At 37.8% G+C, this 16,695-nt stretch overlaps 1 protein-coding gene across 1 annotated transcript in view, besides 4 other annotated features; it reads right to left on the bottom strand.

Moving 5' to 3' along the window:
* The window catches only part of PDZRN4 (PDZ domain containing ring finger 4), a 386,426-nt gene that overhangs the window by 283,256 nt on the left and 86,475 nt on the right, over nt 1–16,695 (bottom strand). The gene's annotated exons all lie outside the window — the stretch shown is intronic.
* Nucleotides 10,394–10,943: an enhancer, noted in NCBI's record as "H3K27ac-H3K4me1 hESC enhancer chr12:41674349-41674898 (GRCh37/hg19 assembly coordinates)". NCBI's record gives its function as "activates a minimal SCP1, AML or CMV promoter by ChIP-STARR-seq in primed H9 embryonic stem cells {active_cell/tissue: H9 hESC(primed)}" and the evidence as "EXISTENCE:reporter gene assay evidence [ECO:0000049][PMID:30033119]".
* Nucleotides 10,394–11,611: a biological region, named in NCBI's record as "BRD4-independent group 4 enhancer GRCh37_chr12:41673681-41674880".
* Nucleotides 10,412–11,611: an enhancer, noted in NCBI's record as "BRD4-independent group 4 enhancer chr12:41673681-41674880 (GRCh37/hg19 assembly coordinates)". NCBI's record gives its function as "activates an origin of replication core promoter dependent on BRD2, P300/CBP, MED14 and CDK7 cofactors, and independent of BRD4, by STARR-seq in HCT116 cells {active_cell/tissue: HCT116}" and the evidence as "EXISTENCE:reporter gene assay evidence [ECO:0000049][PMID:35650434]".
* Nucleotides 10,944–11,495: an enhancer, noted in NCBI's record as "H3K27ac-H3K4me1 hESC enhancer chr12:41673797-41674348 (GRCh37/hg19 assembly coordinates)". NCBI's record gives its function as "activates a minimal SCP1, AML or CMV promoter by ChIP-STARR-seq in naive H9 embryonic stem cells {active_cell/tissue: H9 hESC(naive)}" and the evidence as "EXISTENCE:reporter gene assay evidence [ECO:0000049][PMID:30033119]".

The following is a 16,695-nucleotide window of genomic DNA, read 5'->3' as shown; positions in this document are numbered from 1 at the left end:
GTCATTATTCCCAATTTGCCGATAATAAAACAGATTCAGAGAGTTTAAGTATATATAGAAGTTTATATAGCCACTAAATAAGAAATTAGGGGTAAAACTGAATTCTGGCTACATCCAAGAAATGCTACCATGCTCACGAAGGCCTTCACCTAAGCAAATTTAAGGTAAGGTTATGACTTTCTTGGCCCTTCCATTTAAATCTTATGCTTCAGAAACACTTTTTATTAGAACAAATAATAGTGTTTCTGATCACTAATATCTCAGAAATTATTCAACACTTTCAGTGATCATAATGTTCCTAGAAACCAAGTAAAATAAAATTTTTATATCTTTTTATTATATCTGTGCAAAAAGTACATATAATCTAATGGATAACATAATTCAGACATCTTGAAAGTGTTTTATAAGTTCCATCTTAGAATTTACATTACCCAAGATTAATTGTAGCATTTTTTTTTAAAAAGCAACTTTGGAAGCAAACAAAATAGATCCTACATCTTTAAAAAGGAGGCTTTCATTCTCTCATTTAAATGTATGCTTTGTTCAATTTAGAAAGAGATAAATATAGGATTCAAAGAATGTTTAAGGAAATGAATCAAATTACTTAGACATAGAAAATTGTAAATTTTTGTAAATGAATATGAAAAATTTGAAACTTCTAAAGGGGGTATTCATGGCAGACCCAGGAAAGGTAATAAATACCTCATTAGACCATGAAAAATGACCGGTTATTCCTTCTCCAAAAGATTGTTGAATACCTATTTTTCTGAGAGTAGGGTAAATATATGAAATTATACCTCATAGATTTAGTCATGGTCTATTTCAGAATTATTATTCTATGAAAGCTCATTAAGAAATATCAATACTAGATTTTGTATTTTTCTAGATCTTTCTTCCAAGTTGAAGTGTTTGTATATATATATCAGAATGTGTGTGCTCTAGAACACCTATGTATGAAGATGTATAATTTTCCTGAAGGGTGATTTTTTTTCACATATGTGAAGGAATTTTCTGTTTCTTTTACATTTTCCTAAATAAAATGGCAAAAAGGAATTTCCTGGAAAATGCGATAAATCAATGACCTATTAACTTTTCTTTTAAAGTGTATTCCACAGAGCAACCAGCTTCAGAATTTCTATTTTCCAAACAAAAGATGTTTTGAATCAAAGAATTTTTTAAAAGCCTTCACTCAATGAGGTATAAAATTCCCTATTAAACATATTTGATATTTTGCTTTGAAAGTTTTTTATTAAAAATCTGTCTTCCCTAAGTAGAAACAATGCATGTTAGCCAACCACAGTACTTTAAATCATCTTTCATCTGAGCTTATGGTAGGGATGCTAAGAGGATTCTGTTCCAAAGCACAATGGATCTCAAGCATCAAATAAATCTCCAACTACACATGAACCTAAAGGAAAGGCCCACCACCAGTACTTCCTATGTACACAGTGGCTTCTCACAAATCAGTAGATAGCCTTAAGCTTATATATTTGATGGCATGCCCTACTTGCTGTCAAAATTTCCAAGGCTTTCATAACAATTACTGGAGATCCACTATGCAGTCAGAATTCCACTTTCTTCTTTAGGGTACACTCACAAAGCAAATGGAAGAGGTAAGTTAATGGCAAAGAACTTTGCACCGCTATTTTCTTCACTATCCCCAATCTGGAGATAAACAGAAGGCATCTGTCTTTGAAATTGCTGTCACCATAGTGCTTCATGATTTCCTAATCTGTATATTGGACTGCAGCAATCTCTTCTGTGGGGCCAGCTCAGAGGACCCACTGGGGCAGAACAGAGGCCACACACAAGCCATTTGAAATGCGTGAAAGCATGCCGTGCCTTGCAAGCTGCACTGGTTACATATTTACTTCAAAATGAAGTCAAGTTGATGTGGTCCAAAAGGCCCTCTATTACATAAATTCTAGTTTCCTTAGAAATTGACCATCTTCATGCAGCTCAGCTGTTGTGCTGCTGCTAATAGTCCCTGCATTTATATTTCAGGGACATGAAGGAGCAGTGAGCCTGAACTGTTATTTCCCACCTGTTTCAATCCATATATTTTTCTGGACTAGTTCAGAGTCTTTTGTATGAAAATCACATCTCCACCCATATTGGTTAATACACCAGTGGATTAAAATGTACTATTATTATAGTTTTATGACTCTAATTAGTTTGAATGTTTAAAATGAGCTTAAGTTATAAGTCATACTATTACATTGCAGTAAAAAGTACTGTGTGGATGCATCAAATCACTGTTTTCTTAACTGTTCGTGGATGAGCATGAACTTAATATATGGATACTTAGTTCAAGACAGCAGAGGGTTGGGAAGCAATCTTATGCATCAAAAAGAAAGGGCTGAAGTTTTGTTCAGAATTCATTTACACAGTTGTAACATAATAAAATAATGCCAAAATGAAATATCCATCTCACCTCCTTCAGAGCAGCTGTTGTTTTCCATCTAGTATTTCTGATAATTTTTTTTCAGATCTTTGTTACCATAGGAGAAAATTGTAATGTGTTAAAATTTCAGGTGTGTATTCTCAGCCAAAAGAGTGATTTAAAATGGGGCCTTGTCAACATATGTATAAACCATTATGCCTGCTGTTATCCTAGGAAAAATTAATACATACAGAAGGCTTGGATAGTTTAACAAAGTTTATATAAACATAATTCTTTAAATCCTACACAATCAATTTAAATTCGCTACTAATGAGGCTGGGTTGCTACCATTTGAAATAAATGAGGTCATGGTGAACCGACGGCCATTGTAGTACCAAGAAAAGCAGTTCCTAGAAAGGTATCCGTATTTTTAAGAGGATAAAATAACAACAGTGAGGATTTATTGATTTCTCATCCATGCAAAGATAACTAAGAGTCAGGGTGAAGCCATTTCGAGCAGTTTCACAGTATTACAGAACGACTTCTATTTTTTAAAGAAACACTGCACCATATTGCAAATAGAGATACAAAGAAGAACTACAGTTCCAATTAGGACAAAATCAGCCACTCCAGGCAATAAAACAACAGGAGGCATCACAATATTGATACCTGAGAAATACTGCCACTTGTTATCTAACCATATCACTCACTCAAAACATTACCCAGGAGAATCGGAGCCAGTCTAAACACTTCAGAAACCATCCAGAGCCGTATGGCATACTATTCTTTCAGACCTCAGGAGTAAAAGTTAGCCAGGGCCTACTGACATACTAAAATGATTTATTATCACAGGGCTGAACTAATGCATTCTGCTTTACAACTCTCCCAGCAGTCCAGGGGAGAGGCTGCGTTTATTACCTACAGTACATAATGCCCGCTGAAGAGCTCTGTATTACTCATAAGACTGCCTTTTTTGTGCCATCATAATGCTGATAAATTATGAAAAAATGCATATTTTATTTCAATTTGTAACATATTGTTGTATACACATCAATACATCACGTTGCAGCAGGCGGAGCAAGTATTATTGCTGACAGCTGTTAACATGCTTCAATAAAGCCCAAACAAAGGGGCTTCACTGATAATCCTAAGTCACAACTAGCATTCCAAACAAAAGGCCACTTCTTTCTCTCATAATATTTAGAGGAGATTTGAAGAAATGTCAGTGCTACATAAGGGAGAAACTTTGGTGACAGTCCTGGAAAATATGTTTAATTTTCTACCCAAATTCACTGAAGGGGGTTGGGGAGTTTACACTAAACAGTAAGGCTTCTGTCCAAACTGCAGATCCTCAAGTAAAGAACAGGAAGTCTAATTTATGAAAGAAGAGTTCTTTTCAGAGTTTTCTATTTGATTAGGTTGCTTTCTCTTTCTTTTCTTGCCTCAGATGGTGAAGTGCCTAACTCTAAAAACACACTCTGAGCAGAAGGTCCTAAAAGAAGGCAAGAGATTTTCTATGAACTCTGACTTCCTCTGCAGTTTGCAGTTCTGCAAGTTATTTTCACATTAAAGTAGTCAAACTGCATAGAGAAATGATATTTGGATCTTTGCAAACAAATTTAGTAATTTCCTATTTTAACACCATATACAAAGGAATAGTTTAAATGTAACGAATGAAAGCTAATTTGGGTAGAATTGATACTTTTAATAAGGGCAAGTTTCTTTTAGACACCAAGAATTCACTTGATACAATTTTGAGCTAGAAAGGATCTTAGAGTTCATCTATTTAGCTAGTTCATTTTACAAGTTAGAAATCTGAGCTCATGAAGTCTTCTCTAGGCTATGCCTCTAGCAGAACCATGACTATGGCTGTAGCAGAACCATGATTAGAACTCAGGTTTGTCTGTTTCTAACTTAGTCTTTCTGTTACTCCAAGTGAACTTTCTGGAGTTTAAATTGCAGTTTTATATAGAAGATTTTTGAATGATTTAAATAATGCTTGGAGACAATGATCTATTTCTGCACATCACTACATCAAAAGATGTTGCTGGCTGGGGTCCTCTGCGGACATTAGTTAGAATGAGAAGGCTACAAAAGCTACCTTGATGTGTTTTTATGTCTAAGGAAGAAAACGATACTGATTAAAAAAATAAAAACAAGTGGCATCACTTCCAAGCCTAGGTAACATAAAGACCATGAAAAGAAGGTGTGAAAAATTAAATGATTAACATAGAAAAATATCCCATATATTTTAAAATGTAAACAGTCATAACTTCGCATGTATGGGGTGTGTGTCATAATACATCATCAGAGTCATTTGCCACTGTGAAATCCTAAGCTGCTGCTATGAAATCTGCCTCTCTGCCCTATGGGTCTTCTGCAAACAACAGCAATGTCCAAAGCAAAGACTTGTAGTGAACACCCAAACATTTACTCTTCCTGGTGTTGACACATCCATTTACACATCGAGACAGCCACTTGTGCCTCCAAGAATAGTGAGTGGACCAGAAATGTTATTTAAACAGAGCTTGCCTGCTTTTAATGAAATGGGATTGTGAAACAGCCATTGTACACAAACTTCCTCACAGACCTTAGAATGTGTGCCCAGTTGATCATGCAAACCAGGTCAGGGATTAGCTGGGGAATGTTTTTTAAAAAATAGAGTCTCTAAGGAGGTTGGGAGAGTGGGGTAGTTCTCCCTTGGCTGCTAAAGTCTGCAGTGGGCTCCCAACAAAAACAACAACAACAAAAAAAAAAAAAAAAAAAAAAAGAAGAAGAAGGAAAATGATCTGTAAAGGAAAATAGGACTTTCTGAGCGATCAGCCTTCTTCTTTAGTGTCTATCTTAGAACCTAAAAGTCAGATTTTATGTTGCTGTTTTTTTTCAAACATGTACACTTTTAATATACCAGCATACTTAAATACAAAATAGTAACACAGAATTTTAGGCAGAATAGTCTCCTTAGTGTGACAACTCTTGATCTGCCCATACTGAAGGGCAGCCTTACCTCTTATCACATTCCCAATTCATCAAGCAATCAGGAGTTAAATTTTTGTTTCTTATTGACCACTTTGGTATTTTATTTTATTTTTTTTCTCTTTTTTAAATTATACTTTAAGTTCTGGGACACATGTGCAGAAAGTGCACGTTTGTTATGTAGGTATACATGTGCCATGGTGGTTTGCTGCACCCAACAACCCGTCATCTACATTAAGTTTTTCTCCTAATGCTCTCCCTCCCCTTGCCCACCACCCCCTGACAGGCCCCACTGTGTGATGTTCCCCTCCTTGTGCCCATATGTTCTCATTGTTCAACTCCTACTTATGAGTGAGAACATGCGGTGTTTGGTTTTCTGTTCTTGTGTTAGTTTGCTGAGAATGATGGTTTCCAGCTTCATCCATGTCCCTGCAAAGGACATGAACTCATTTTTTATGGCTGCATAGTATTCCATGGTGTACATGTGCCATATTTTCTTTGTCCAGTCTAACGTTGATGGTTATTTGGTTGGTTCCAACTCTTTGCTATTGTGAACAGTGCTGCAATAAACATACATGTGCATGTATCTTTATAGTAGAATGATTTATAATCCTTTGGGTATATACCCAGTAATGGGATTGCTGGGTCAAATGGTATTTCTGGCTCTAGATCCTTGAGGAATCACCACACTGTCTTCCAAAATGGTTGAACTAATTTACACTCTCGTCAACAGTGTAAAAGTGTTCCTATTTCTCCACATCCTCTGCAGGTTCTGTTATTTCCTGACTTTTTAATGACTGCCATTCTAACTGGAATGAGATGGTATCTCATTGTGGTTTTGATTTGCATTTCTGTAATGACCAGTGATGAGCTTCTTTTCATATGTTTGTTAGCCACATAAATGTCTTCTTTTGAGAAGTGTCTGTTCATATTCTTTGCCTGTTTTTCGATGGGGTTTTTTGTTTTTTTTCTTGTAAATTTGTTTAAGTTCTTTGTAGATTCTGGATATTAGCCCTTTGTCAGATGGATAGATTGCAAAATTTTCTCCCATTCTGTAGGTTGCCTGTTCACTCTGATGATAGTTTCTTTTGCTGTACAGAAGCTCTTTAGTTTAATTACATCCCATTTGTCTATTTTGGCTTTTTTTGTCATTGCTTTTGGTGTTTTAGTCATGAAGTCCTTGCCCATGCTATGTCCTGAATGGTATTGCCTAGGTTTTCTTCTAGGGTTTTTAAGGTTTTAGATCTTATGTTTAAGTCTTTAATCCATCTTGAGTAAATTTTTGTATAAGGTGTAAGCAAGGGGTCCAGTTTCAGTTTTCTGCATATGGCTAGCCAGCTTTCCCAACACTATTTATTAAACATGGAATCCTTTCCCTAATGCTTATTTTTGTCAGGTTTGTCAAAGATCAGATGGTTTTAGGTGTGTGGCATTATTTCTGAGGCTTCTGTTCTGTGTCATTGGTCTATATATCTGTTTTGGTACTAATACGATGATGTTTTGGTTACTGTAGCCTTGTAATGTAGTTTGAAGTCAGGTTGCGTGATGCCTCCAGCTTTGTTCCTTTTGCTTAGGATTGTCTGGCATATATGGGCTCTTTTTTTGGTTCCATTTGAAATTTAAAGTAGTTTTTTCTAATTCTGTGAAGAAAGTCAATAATAGCTTGTTGGAAATAGCATTGCATCAAAATTACTTTGGGCAGTATGGCCATTTTCACAATATTGATTCCTCCTATCCATCAGCATGGGATGTTTTTCTATTTGCTTGTGTCCTCTTTTATTTCCTTAAGCAGTGGTTTGTAGTTCTTGAGGAGGTCCTTCACATCCCTTGTAAGTTGTATTTCTAGGTATTTTATTCTTTTTGTAGCAATTGTGAATGGGAGTTTGCTCATGATTTGGCTCTTTGTTTGTCTGTTATTGGTGTATAGGAATGCTAGTAATTTCTTTGCACATTTATTTTGTATGCTGAGACATTGCTGAAGTTGCTTATCAGCTTAAGGAGTTTTGGGGCTGAGACAATGGGGTTTCCTAAATATACAATCATGTCATCTGCAAACAGAGATAATTTGATTTCCTCTCTTCCTATTTGAAGACCTTTATTTCTTTCTCTTGCCTGATTACCCTGGCCAGAACTTCCAATACCATGTTAAATAGGAGTGGTGAGAGAGGGCATCCTTGTCTTGTGCCAGTTTTCAAAGGGAATGCTTCCAGTTTTTGCCCATTCAGTATGATATTGGCTGTGGGTCTGTCATAAATAGCTCTTATTATTTTGAGATATGTTCCATCAGTACTTAGTTTATTGAGTGTTTTTAGCATGAAGCCATGTTGAATCTTATTGAAAGCCTTTTCTGCATCTATTGAAATAATCACGTGATTTTTGTCCTTGATTGTGTTTATGTGATGGATTACATTTATTGATTTGCATATGTTGAACCAGCCTTGCATCCCAGGGATGAAGCCACCTTGATCACGGTGGAAAAGCTTTTTGATGTGCTGCTGGATTCGGTTTGCCAGTGTTTTATTGAGGATTTTCGCATTGATGTTTATCACGGATATTGGTCTAAAATGTTGTTGTTGTTGTGTCTCTGCCAGGTTGGGATATCAGGATGATGCTGGCCTCATCAAATGAGTTAGGGAGGATTCCCTCATTTTCTGTTGTTCAGAATAGTTTCAGAAGGAATGGGATCAGCTCCACTTTGTACCTCTGGTAGAATTCGGCTGTGAATCTGTCTGGTCCTGGGCTTTTTTGGCTAGTAGGGTATTAATTACTGCCTCAATTTCAGAACTTGTTTTTGTTCTATTCAGGGATTTGACTTCTTCCTGGTTTAGTCTGGGGAGGGTGTATGTATCCAGGAATTTATCCATTCTTCCAGATTTTCTAGTTTATTTGCACAGAAGTGTTATAATATTCTCTGACGGTAGTTTGTATTTCTGTGGGAACAGTGGTCATATCCCCTTTATCATTTTTTATTGTGTCTATTTGATTCTTCTCTCTTTTCTTCTTAATTAGTCTGGCTAATTCTGTTAATCTTTTAAAAAAAACAGCCCCTGGATTCATTGATTTTTTTGGAGGGTTTTCCCTGCTCCTATCTCCTTCGGTTCAATTGTCATCTTAGTTATTTGTTGCCTTCTGCTAGCTTTTGAATTTGTTTGCTCTTGCTTCTCTAGTTGTTTTAATTGCTATGTTAGGGTGTCGATTTTAGATCTTTGCCACTTTCTCCTGTGGGCATTTAGTGCTATAAATTTCCCTCCAAACACTGCTTTAGCTGTGTCCCAGAGATTCTGGTACATTGTGTCTTTGATCTCATTGGTTTCAAAGAACTTATTTATTTCCCACCTTCATTTCATTATTTACCCAGTAGTCATTCAGGAGCAGGTTGTTCAGTTTCCATGTAGTTGTATGGTTTTGAGTGAGTTTCTTAATCCTGAGTTCTAGTTTGATTTCACCGTGGTCTGAGAGACTGTTTGTTTTGATTTCCGTTCTTTTGCATTTGCTGAGGATTGTTTTATTTCCAATCATGTGGTTGATTTTAGAATAAGTGCAATGTGGTGCTGAGAAGAATGCATATTCTGTTGATTTTGGGTGAAGAGTTCTGTAGATGTCTATTAGGTCTGCTTGGTCCAGAGCTGAGTTCAACTCCCGAATATCCTTGTTAATTTTCTGTCTCATTGATCTGTCTAATATTGACAGTGGGGTGTTAAAATCTCCCCCTATTATTGTGTGGTAGTCTAAGTCTCTTTGTAGGTCTCTAATAACTTGCTTTATGAAACTGAGTGCTCCTGTATTGGGTGCATATATATTTAGGATAGTTAGCTCTTCTTGTTGCATTGATCCCTTTACCATTATGTAATGCTCTTCTTTGTCTTTTTAAATCTTTGTTGGTTTAAAGTCTGTTTTATCAGAGACTAGTATTGCAACCCCTGTTTTTTTTGCTTTCCATTTGCATGGTAAATATTCCTCCATCCCTTTATTTTGAGCCTATGTGTATCGTTGCACATGAGATGGGTCTCCTGAATACAGCACACCAATGGATCTTGACTCTTCATCGAATTTGCCAGTCTTTGCCTCTTAATTGGGGCATTTAGCACGGTTACATTTAAGGTTAATATTGTTATGTATGAATTTGATTCTGTCATTATGATGTTAGCTGGTTATTTTGCCCATTAGATGATGCAGTTTCTTCATACTGTCAATGGTCTTTACATTTCGGTATGTTTTTGCAGTGGCTGGTAGTAGTTTTTCCTTTCCATATTTAGTGCTTTCTTCAGGAGCTCTTGTAAGGCAGGCCTGGTGGTGACAAAATCCCTCAGGGCAATCAGGCAAGGAAAGCATCCTGAACTGTGTTTTCCAGCTTGGTTCCATTCGCCCTGTCACTTTCAGGTACACCAGTGAAACATAGGTTTGGTCTTTTCACATAGTCCCATATTTCTTGGAGGCTTTGTTCATTCCTTTTCATTCTTTTTTCTCTGATCTTGCCTTCATGCTTTATTTCATTGAGTTGATCTTTAACCTCTGATATCCTTTCTTCCACTTGATCAATTTGGCTATTGATACTTGTGTATGCTTTGCGAAGTTCTTGTGCTATGTTTTTCAGCTCCATCGGGTCATTTATGTTCTTCTCTAAACTGGTTATTCTAGTTAGCAATTACTCTAACCTTTTATCAAGGTTCTTAGCTTCCTTGCATTGAGTTAGAACATGCTCCTTTAGCTTGGAGGAGTTTGTTATTACCCACCTTCTGAAGCCTACTTCTGTCAATTCATCAAACTCATTCTCTGTCCAGTTTTGTTCCCTTGCTGGCGAGGAGTTGTGATCCTTTGGAGTAGAAGAGGCATTCTGGTTTTTGAAATCTTCAGCCTATTTGCACTGGTTTTTCCTCATCTTTGTGGATTTATCTACCTTTGATCTTTGCTGTTGGTGATCTTTGGATGGAGTTTTTGCGTGGTCATCTGTTTTGTTGATGTTGATGATACTGCTTTCTGTTTGTTAGTCTTCCTTCTAACAGTCAGGCCCTTCTCCTGCAGGTCTGCTGGAGTTTGCTGTGGGTCCACTCCAGACCCTGTTTACCTGGGTATCACCAGCAGAGGATGCAGAACAGCAGAGATTGCTGCCTGCTCCTTCCTCTGGAAGCTTTGTCCCAGAGGGGAACCTGCCAGATGCCAGCTGGAGCTCTCCTGTATGAGGTGTCTGTCAAACCCTGCTGGGAGGTGTCTCCTAGTCAGGAGGCACGGGGGTCAGGGACCCACTTGAGGAGGCAGTCTGTCCGTTCTCAGAGCTGGAACGCTGTGCTGGGAGATCCGCTGCTGTCTTTAGAGCCTGCAGGTATGAACGTTTAAGTCTGCTGAAGCTGCACCCACATCCACCCCTTCTGCCTGGTGCTCTGTCCCAGGGAGATGGGAGTTTTATCTATAAGCCCCTGACTGGGGCTGCTGCCTTTCTTTCAGAGATGCCCTGCCCAGAGAGGAGGACTCTAGAGAGGCAGTCTCGCTACAGTGGCTTTGCTGAGCTGCGGTGGGCTCCACCCAGTTCGAGCTTCCTGGTAGCTTTGTTTACACTGTGAGGGGAATACTGTCTAATTAAGCCTCAGTAATGCGGACGCCCCTCCCCGCACCAAGCTCGAGTGTCCCAGGTTGACTTCAGACTGCTGTGCTGGCAGCCAGAATTTCAACCAGTGGATCTGAGCTTGCTGGGCTCCATGGGGGTGGGATCCGCTGAGGAAGACTACTTGGCTCCCTGGCTTCAGCTCCCTTTCCAGGGGAGTAAACGGGTCTGTCTTGCTGGCATTCCAGGCACCACTGGGGTACGGAAAAAAACTCCCACAGCTAGCTCAGTGTCTGCCCAAATGGCTGCCCAATTTTGTGCTAGAAACCCAGGGCCCTGGTGGTGTAGGCACCCGAGGGAATCTCTTGGTCTGTGGGTTGCAAAGACCCTGGGAAAAGCATAGTATCTAGGCTGCATAGCACCGTCCCTCATGGCAGGGTCCCTCAGGGATTCCCTTGGCAAAAGGAGGGATTTTTCTGACCCCTTGTGCTTCCCAGGTGAGGCGACACCCCACCCTGCTTCTGCTCGCCCTCCATGGGTTGCACCCACTGTCTAACCAGTCCCAATGAGAAGAACCGGGTACCTCTGTTGGAAATGCAGAAATCACCCACCTTCTGCATGGGCCTTGCTGGGAGCTGCAGACCACAGCTGTTCCTATTCGGCCATCTTGCCCAGGAATTCCCTATGTTGCTGTTTTCTACCTTACAGTTCTATAGACTGATGGAAAAAAGAAGTCTTCAAGTTTTAAAAATCTTCTTATATGCCTTGCAGGTGGGCTTTTATTAATCATTATTGTCTCTTTATAGGCTATCCTCAATACTACTATAATTATCTCCAACTCTAGTTCTTTGTTTCAACCCATGTCTTCTTCCCTCTATTGAAAACATTAGTACTTCCTTGAAATAGTAATATGTTTGATTTCTACATTTTCAGTTTTAAGGAAATTCACATTTCACACAGACTGGAGCCAGGTCAATTAATATTCTTATCTGAGGACACAGAGACTTATTTAGGTTAATAAATAAATAAATACAAGCTTTCCTAGAAAAACCAAAATAGAAACTAATTATTCAATAATAGTGGCTCCTACTTATTGTTGGAAACTACTACCCATCTTTAAATACCACGACCATCATTTTTTATAAAATGAAGATGCTGCTTCTCATTTAAGTTCATAAATTGGGCCAACACGTTTTAGCTTTTTAGGTTTTAAAAACTGCCTGCCTACTTCATGTAAACAAAATCAAAGCTGAGATGACTAGAAATAATATTTTGACAATTTTATTTTCTCTTTTTGATTGCTTAAGAAAGTTCTTAAATAATTTTGAGTTTAAGGGAATCTTATACATCTCTCTAGTTCAGCATTCTTATTTTATAAATGACTTATGTCAAGAATGACTGATTTGTTTAAAGTATAAAAGAGCATTGATTCTCAAATGTTACCAACCCAAACATTTGAAAAACACTGTATACCCGAACCCTGCGTGTAACTGGTTTCCCAGTGCCCTTTGAGAGTCACTTAACAAGAATCCTAGCACATCGTTATTTTTATGTCACCCTGCCTTTATTTTTAGTGTCCCAAAAATCCTTCTGGAGTTATAAATATGGCAGGATATTTAACTGGGACTTTTTCTTTCTGTTTTAGCTGAAGGCTGAAAGGCTGAGATAAGGGCCTTTATCCATGCATCCTTAGTAGGGGCTCCATCACTATGCAGGGCTTGCTAAAATGGCATCCCAAAACAAATACTGAGACCCTCCATTTAATCCGCACTAAGAAGATATTTAGAAATTAGAAAGTTCAAAGGATGGGAGTGTTTGGAATAGAATTTCCTTAGGAACAGTTGTTGTGATGTAGCATTTTCCGCTGTTCCCTTATCTCTATCTTGAGTAAAAGGACTTTCAAGGGAACTACTGGACAAGGTTTAACTTTGAATGAGGTAGGGAATTTTGATTATTAAGAGACTGTTTTTATAATTAAAAGTTACTGAAGCTATGGGACTGCTTTCACTTTTCATCAGAAGCACAGAAATAGCTGGCCCCTCTAGCAGGGTTTTAGGGACAGTGGAAGGAAAAATAATGCTTTATATTGCACCATATTGAGTTCTGCTCTTTCAATGTAATCGTTACACAAAGTAATCTTTTGTAAAGTCAATAAACCTGTTCATTTAACAGACTGCTAAGATTAACTAATGTGTGTACATTAACCCATCTCAATGATTAACCTTCTGAACAAAAGAAATTAAAAAGTCTCCTTGAATTTGGTGAAAAACATTATCCTGGATAGGGAGATGACAACCTTTTCTGGTATCTTGTGTCTATGTTTTTCTTCCATGACTTCTGAATATAACATAAGACTTAGCTTGGAGGATATATCCAATCATGGCCTTATAAAAAGCCTCCTCTTTCAGTCTTATTATCTTATGAGTCACGCATATAACAAAAGGTAAAAGGGATTTGAATTTTGAGTACAGCCAGGGAACAGGAGGAAAAGGATCATCTTAGTGTCCATGCAAACATATTGAGTGCCAAAAGTCTGTGTTGACTTATAGCTACAGCTTTTACATCTAAGAGCGTCATTAGCATAATTGGCTTTTGGATCAGATGGAGGCCATTAGCCTTAAATTCTTTGCCGAGGACTAAAATGTCTAACTAATATCCTTTTTATTCCACATCACCTTTCACTTGCTCACATAAATTATCTTCCTCTCCCCTAGACATAAGAAAAGAAAATCATCTTTATCCATACGGAACCTCTGTATGTGAATTCTATTTATAGCTGCTAATCTACCAAAGAGAAATTGATTACCTCTAACAAACATTACTTTTCCTACACACCAAAGAGCAGCAGAGTCTCTTCAATCGTTGCAACAAGAGCTGTTCACCAACCTTATTTCAGTTGGAGGTTAGACTTTCGTTCCAGCAGTAACTCTAGATTAGTGTCAGCACAGCTGGGGATCACTGATTAGTCCAGCTAGTCTGGTCTACAGAGTCAATCATCCACCCACCTGGACCAGGTGAGCTATCACCACAGTGAGCGTAAGGTGAGAAAGAGATTGGGATAAGAAGGCCGGCCATCTGTTTATAGACATCATATCTGCACTGGTGCATAAACTGAGTTCACAACGCTCAGAATGAAAGCGGACTCTTTCCTCAGTGGGAAATTCGCCTCTGCAGTGCCTGTGAGCTAACAAATCCACCCAGAACTCACGCCCGTTTTATTTTCAGCAACGGCCTTGTAGTTAGGGGCAGCAGGATTTTATATCGTTGGCCCTATAAATTAACTAAAACTACGTGAAAAATGAAAAGGCTTCATTTGATGGGAAGCAGGGTTTTAGTACCCAAGTTCAGATGCTTGCGTACTCTGCCATCTGCTGGTTCATGTATGGAATGTTTAAAATTCCTGTGCACGCTCATTACTGTTTTTTGTCTGTTTTGCATTTTCATTGTTCTGCTGAATTTATGAAACTGATTTTTAAAGTTGCAATTTACAACAACATACTCAATTTGTTGCTAGAAGTGAATCTCTTTTAAAGAATTGTTATATTTTAGAATACATTGAGATTTAGAGAAAAGTGGTAAATATAGTACAGAGAGTTTCCATATATCCAGATTCCCCTCTTGTTACCATCTTGCATTAGTGTGGTACATTTGTCACACTAGCTAACCATTATGCATGACATTATTATTAAAGTAGAACTGGGTCTCTAAGAATGGTAAATACTGCTGACTCTGGTTTATCCAGACAAATATAGGGTACTGACCATAGATAGATAATAAGAGTAGCTAACATTCCTGCCTGGCACTTTGCTTAGTACTTTACATACATTAGCTGATGTGATTCTTGTAATCTGCAGAATAGTATGACTACCTTCTATTCCCAGTGTATTAGGAAAATAAATCTCATAGTGATTGCTGGCCCTAACATTAAGAGCTGTGTGACTTTGGGTAAGTTTTATTCAAAGAATTTCTCATAAATTTATTGCAAGGCTTTAATCAATGACTATATAATGGGAAACACTTAGCAGAATCTATGACACATATGAAATATGACATGTATAAATATGATGTATGAATATATGAAATATATATTTTCATATTTCATAAATATATTCATATTTCATATAAATATATGAACTATGACGTGTATAAAATAATCCCCAGGTCTATCTGAATCTATCTGAGGCCAGGGTCTACTCGTTAAACTGCTACAATAACTATAATATACTAAAAAGGGTTCTTAAAACACCAGAGAAGAGCTTATTTGTATAAATCATTTTCTTGTATGGTTTCTGCTTTCTTGTATTAGGTCCCTGTTTCTTTTTGGTTTCCATTATCTCCCCACCACCTTCCATATGAAATTTTAATACCACAAATATGCTGTATATCTGTTTACATACTGCAGTTCTTTGGAGAGCCACAAACCATTGTAATATGTAAGCTTTCTTGCCCTCCAAGGACCAATATTTGTCCCTTGGGATTGCTGTCATCCCTATCGAGAATGTCCTAGGCTTCCTACACCATTCACCCTTCTCATTAATAACAACTGTGAAACTACTGCTAGTCAACCACATCTACCAAGATAGAAAAGCATATAAATCTGGAGTTTCCTCTGCCTGTAACCATTTACCCAACTCCGAAACTCACAAGTACTATCATAGTCTTCTCTAGTCTCACATCCCTCAAAATCACCTTCATTTTTCACATCCAGCCTGTACATTTTCTCTAAATTATTTCCTTAGATTCAATGAGTCTCCATTTTTATTTTAAAAAGTGAAATGCTTTATACTCATCACTGAAACCTTTGTAGGCAGATATTAAAAATTATTTCCTACTCTTGTGGCCATATTTGGGTTTGAATCCTATCTCCTTTACTTACTATATATCTATAGCCTTATATGTAATAATCCCTCAGAAATGATTATTTTTTTAAAAAAATCCACAGTATACTCTTATAAAATTTTAAGGGAGATAAATAAAAATTACACCAACCGCCTAGCACAGACCCTAGCATGCAGTGTGTAAAGATGTGGAGCAGAGAGGATCTATTTCCTTCCTGCCTCCCCTGTCACTCCACTGAGCTCACTTCTTCTAAGTTTGTTATTCAGGCCACTGCAAAAATCCTGCCAACAACTTGGCCTCAAAATCACTTAATGGGAAAGAACTGAAAGATTGAATTTTTGGCAATGAAAACTATAAAATATTGGGACTTACATTCTAGTGGGTTAGTTCAAGTAAACTGATAAATAAATATACAACAAGTGGTAGTAAGCATTATGAAGAAAAATGAGCCAGTAAGAGAGTTATGATGGGGAAGAATGCTAATTTTATAAGGTGGTAAGACAGAGGCTATCTGAAATACGGACTTTTTATCAGAGACTTTAATTAAATGAGGAAATGAGCCACACAGTTCCCTGGGATAACTGTCGTTAGGCATATCCACTCTCCCTTCCAGAGTTGCTTCTGGCATCAGTTTGATCCCATGCCAGTCAAGCCTCTCAGCTTATTCATGAGTTAAAATGTTCAGCATCTTAGTCTAAAGCACTGATCCCTGTAGCATCTGGACTACATAGATGCATCAGGTGCCTAGTCCGACACTGACCCACCAATGAGCTCTTGGGCCTGAATCTACCTAATTATACTGTCAGCCAAAATTGTTCTGTCTATAATAATTCACTGGGAGACTTTGCAAATATTTGACTGATTTCAGAGCATTTTTTTCCTACCACATTTCCCTAATGGCGAGTCCAGTGATTCAGTAAACAGGAAGGGAATTAATCTTTAACTGTCTTCAGATATT

The sequence above is a fragment of the Homo sapiens genome, chromosome 12 (genome assembly GCF_000001405.40).
Source record: "Homo sapiens chromosome 12, GRCh38.p14 Primary Assembly".
Classification (NCBI taxonomy): Eukaryota; Metazoa; Chordata; class Mammalia; order Primates; family Hominidae; genus Homo; species Homo sapiens.
Note: the sequence above shows the minus strand (reverse complement) of the source record. Positions and strands in the feature narration are given on the sequence as shown.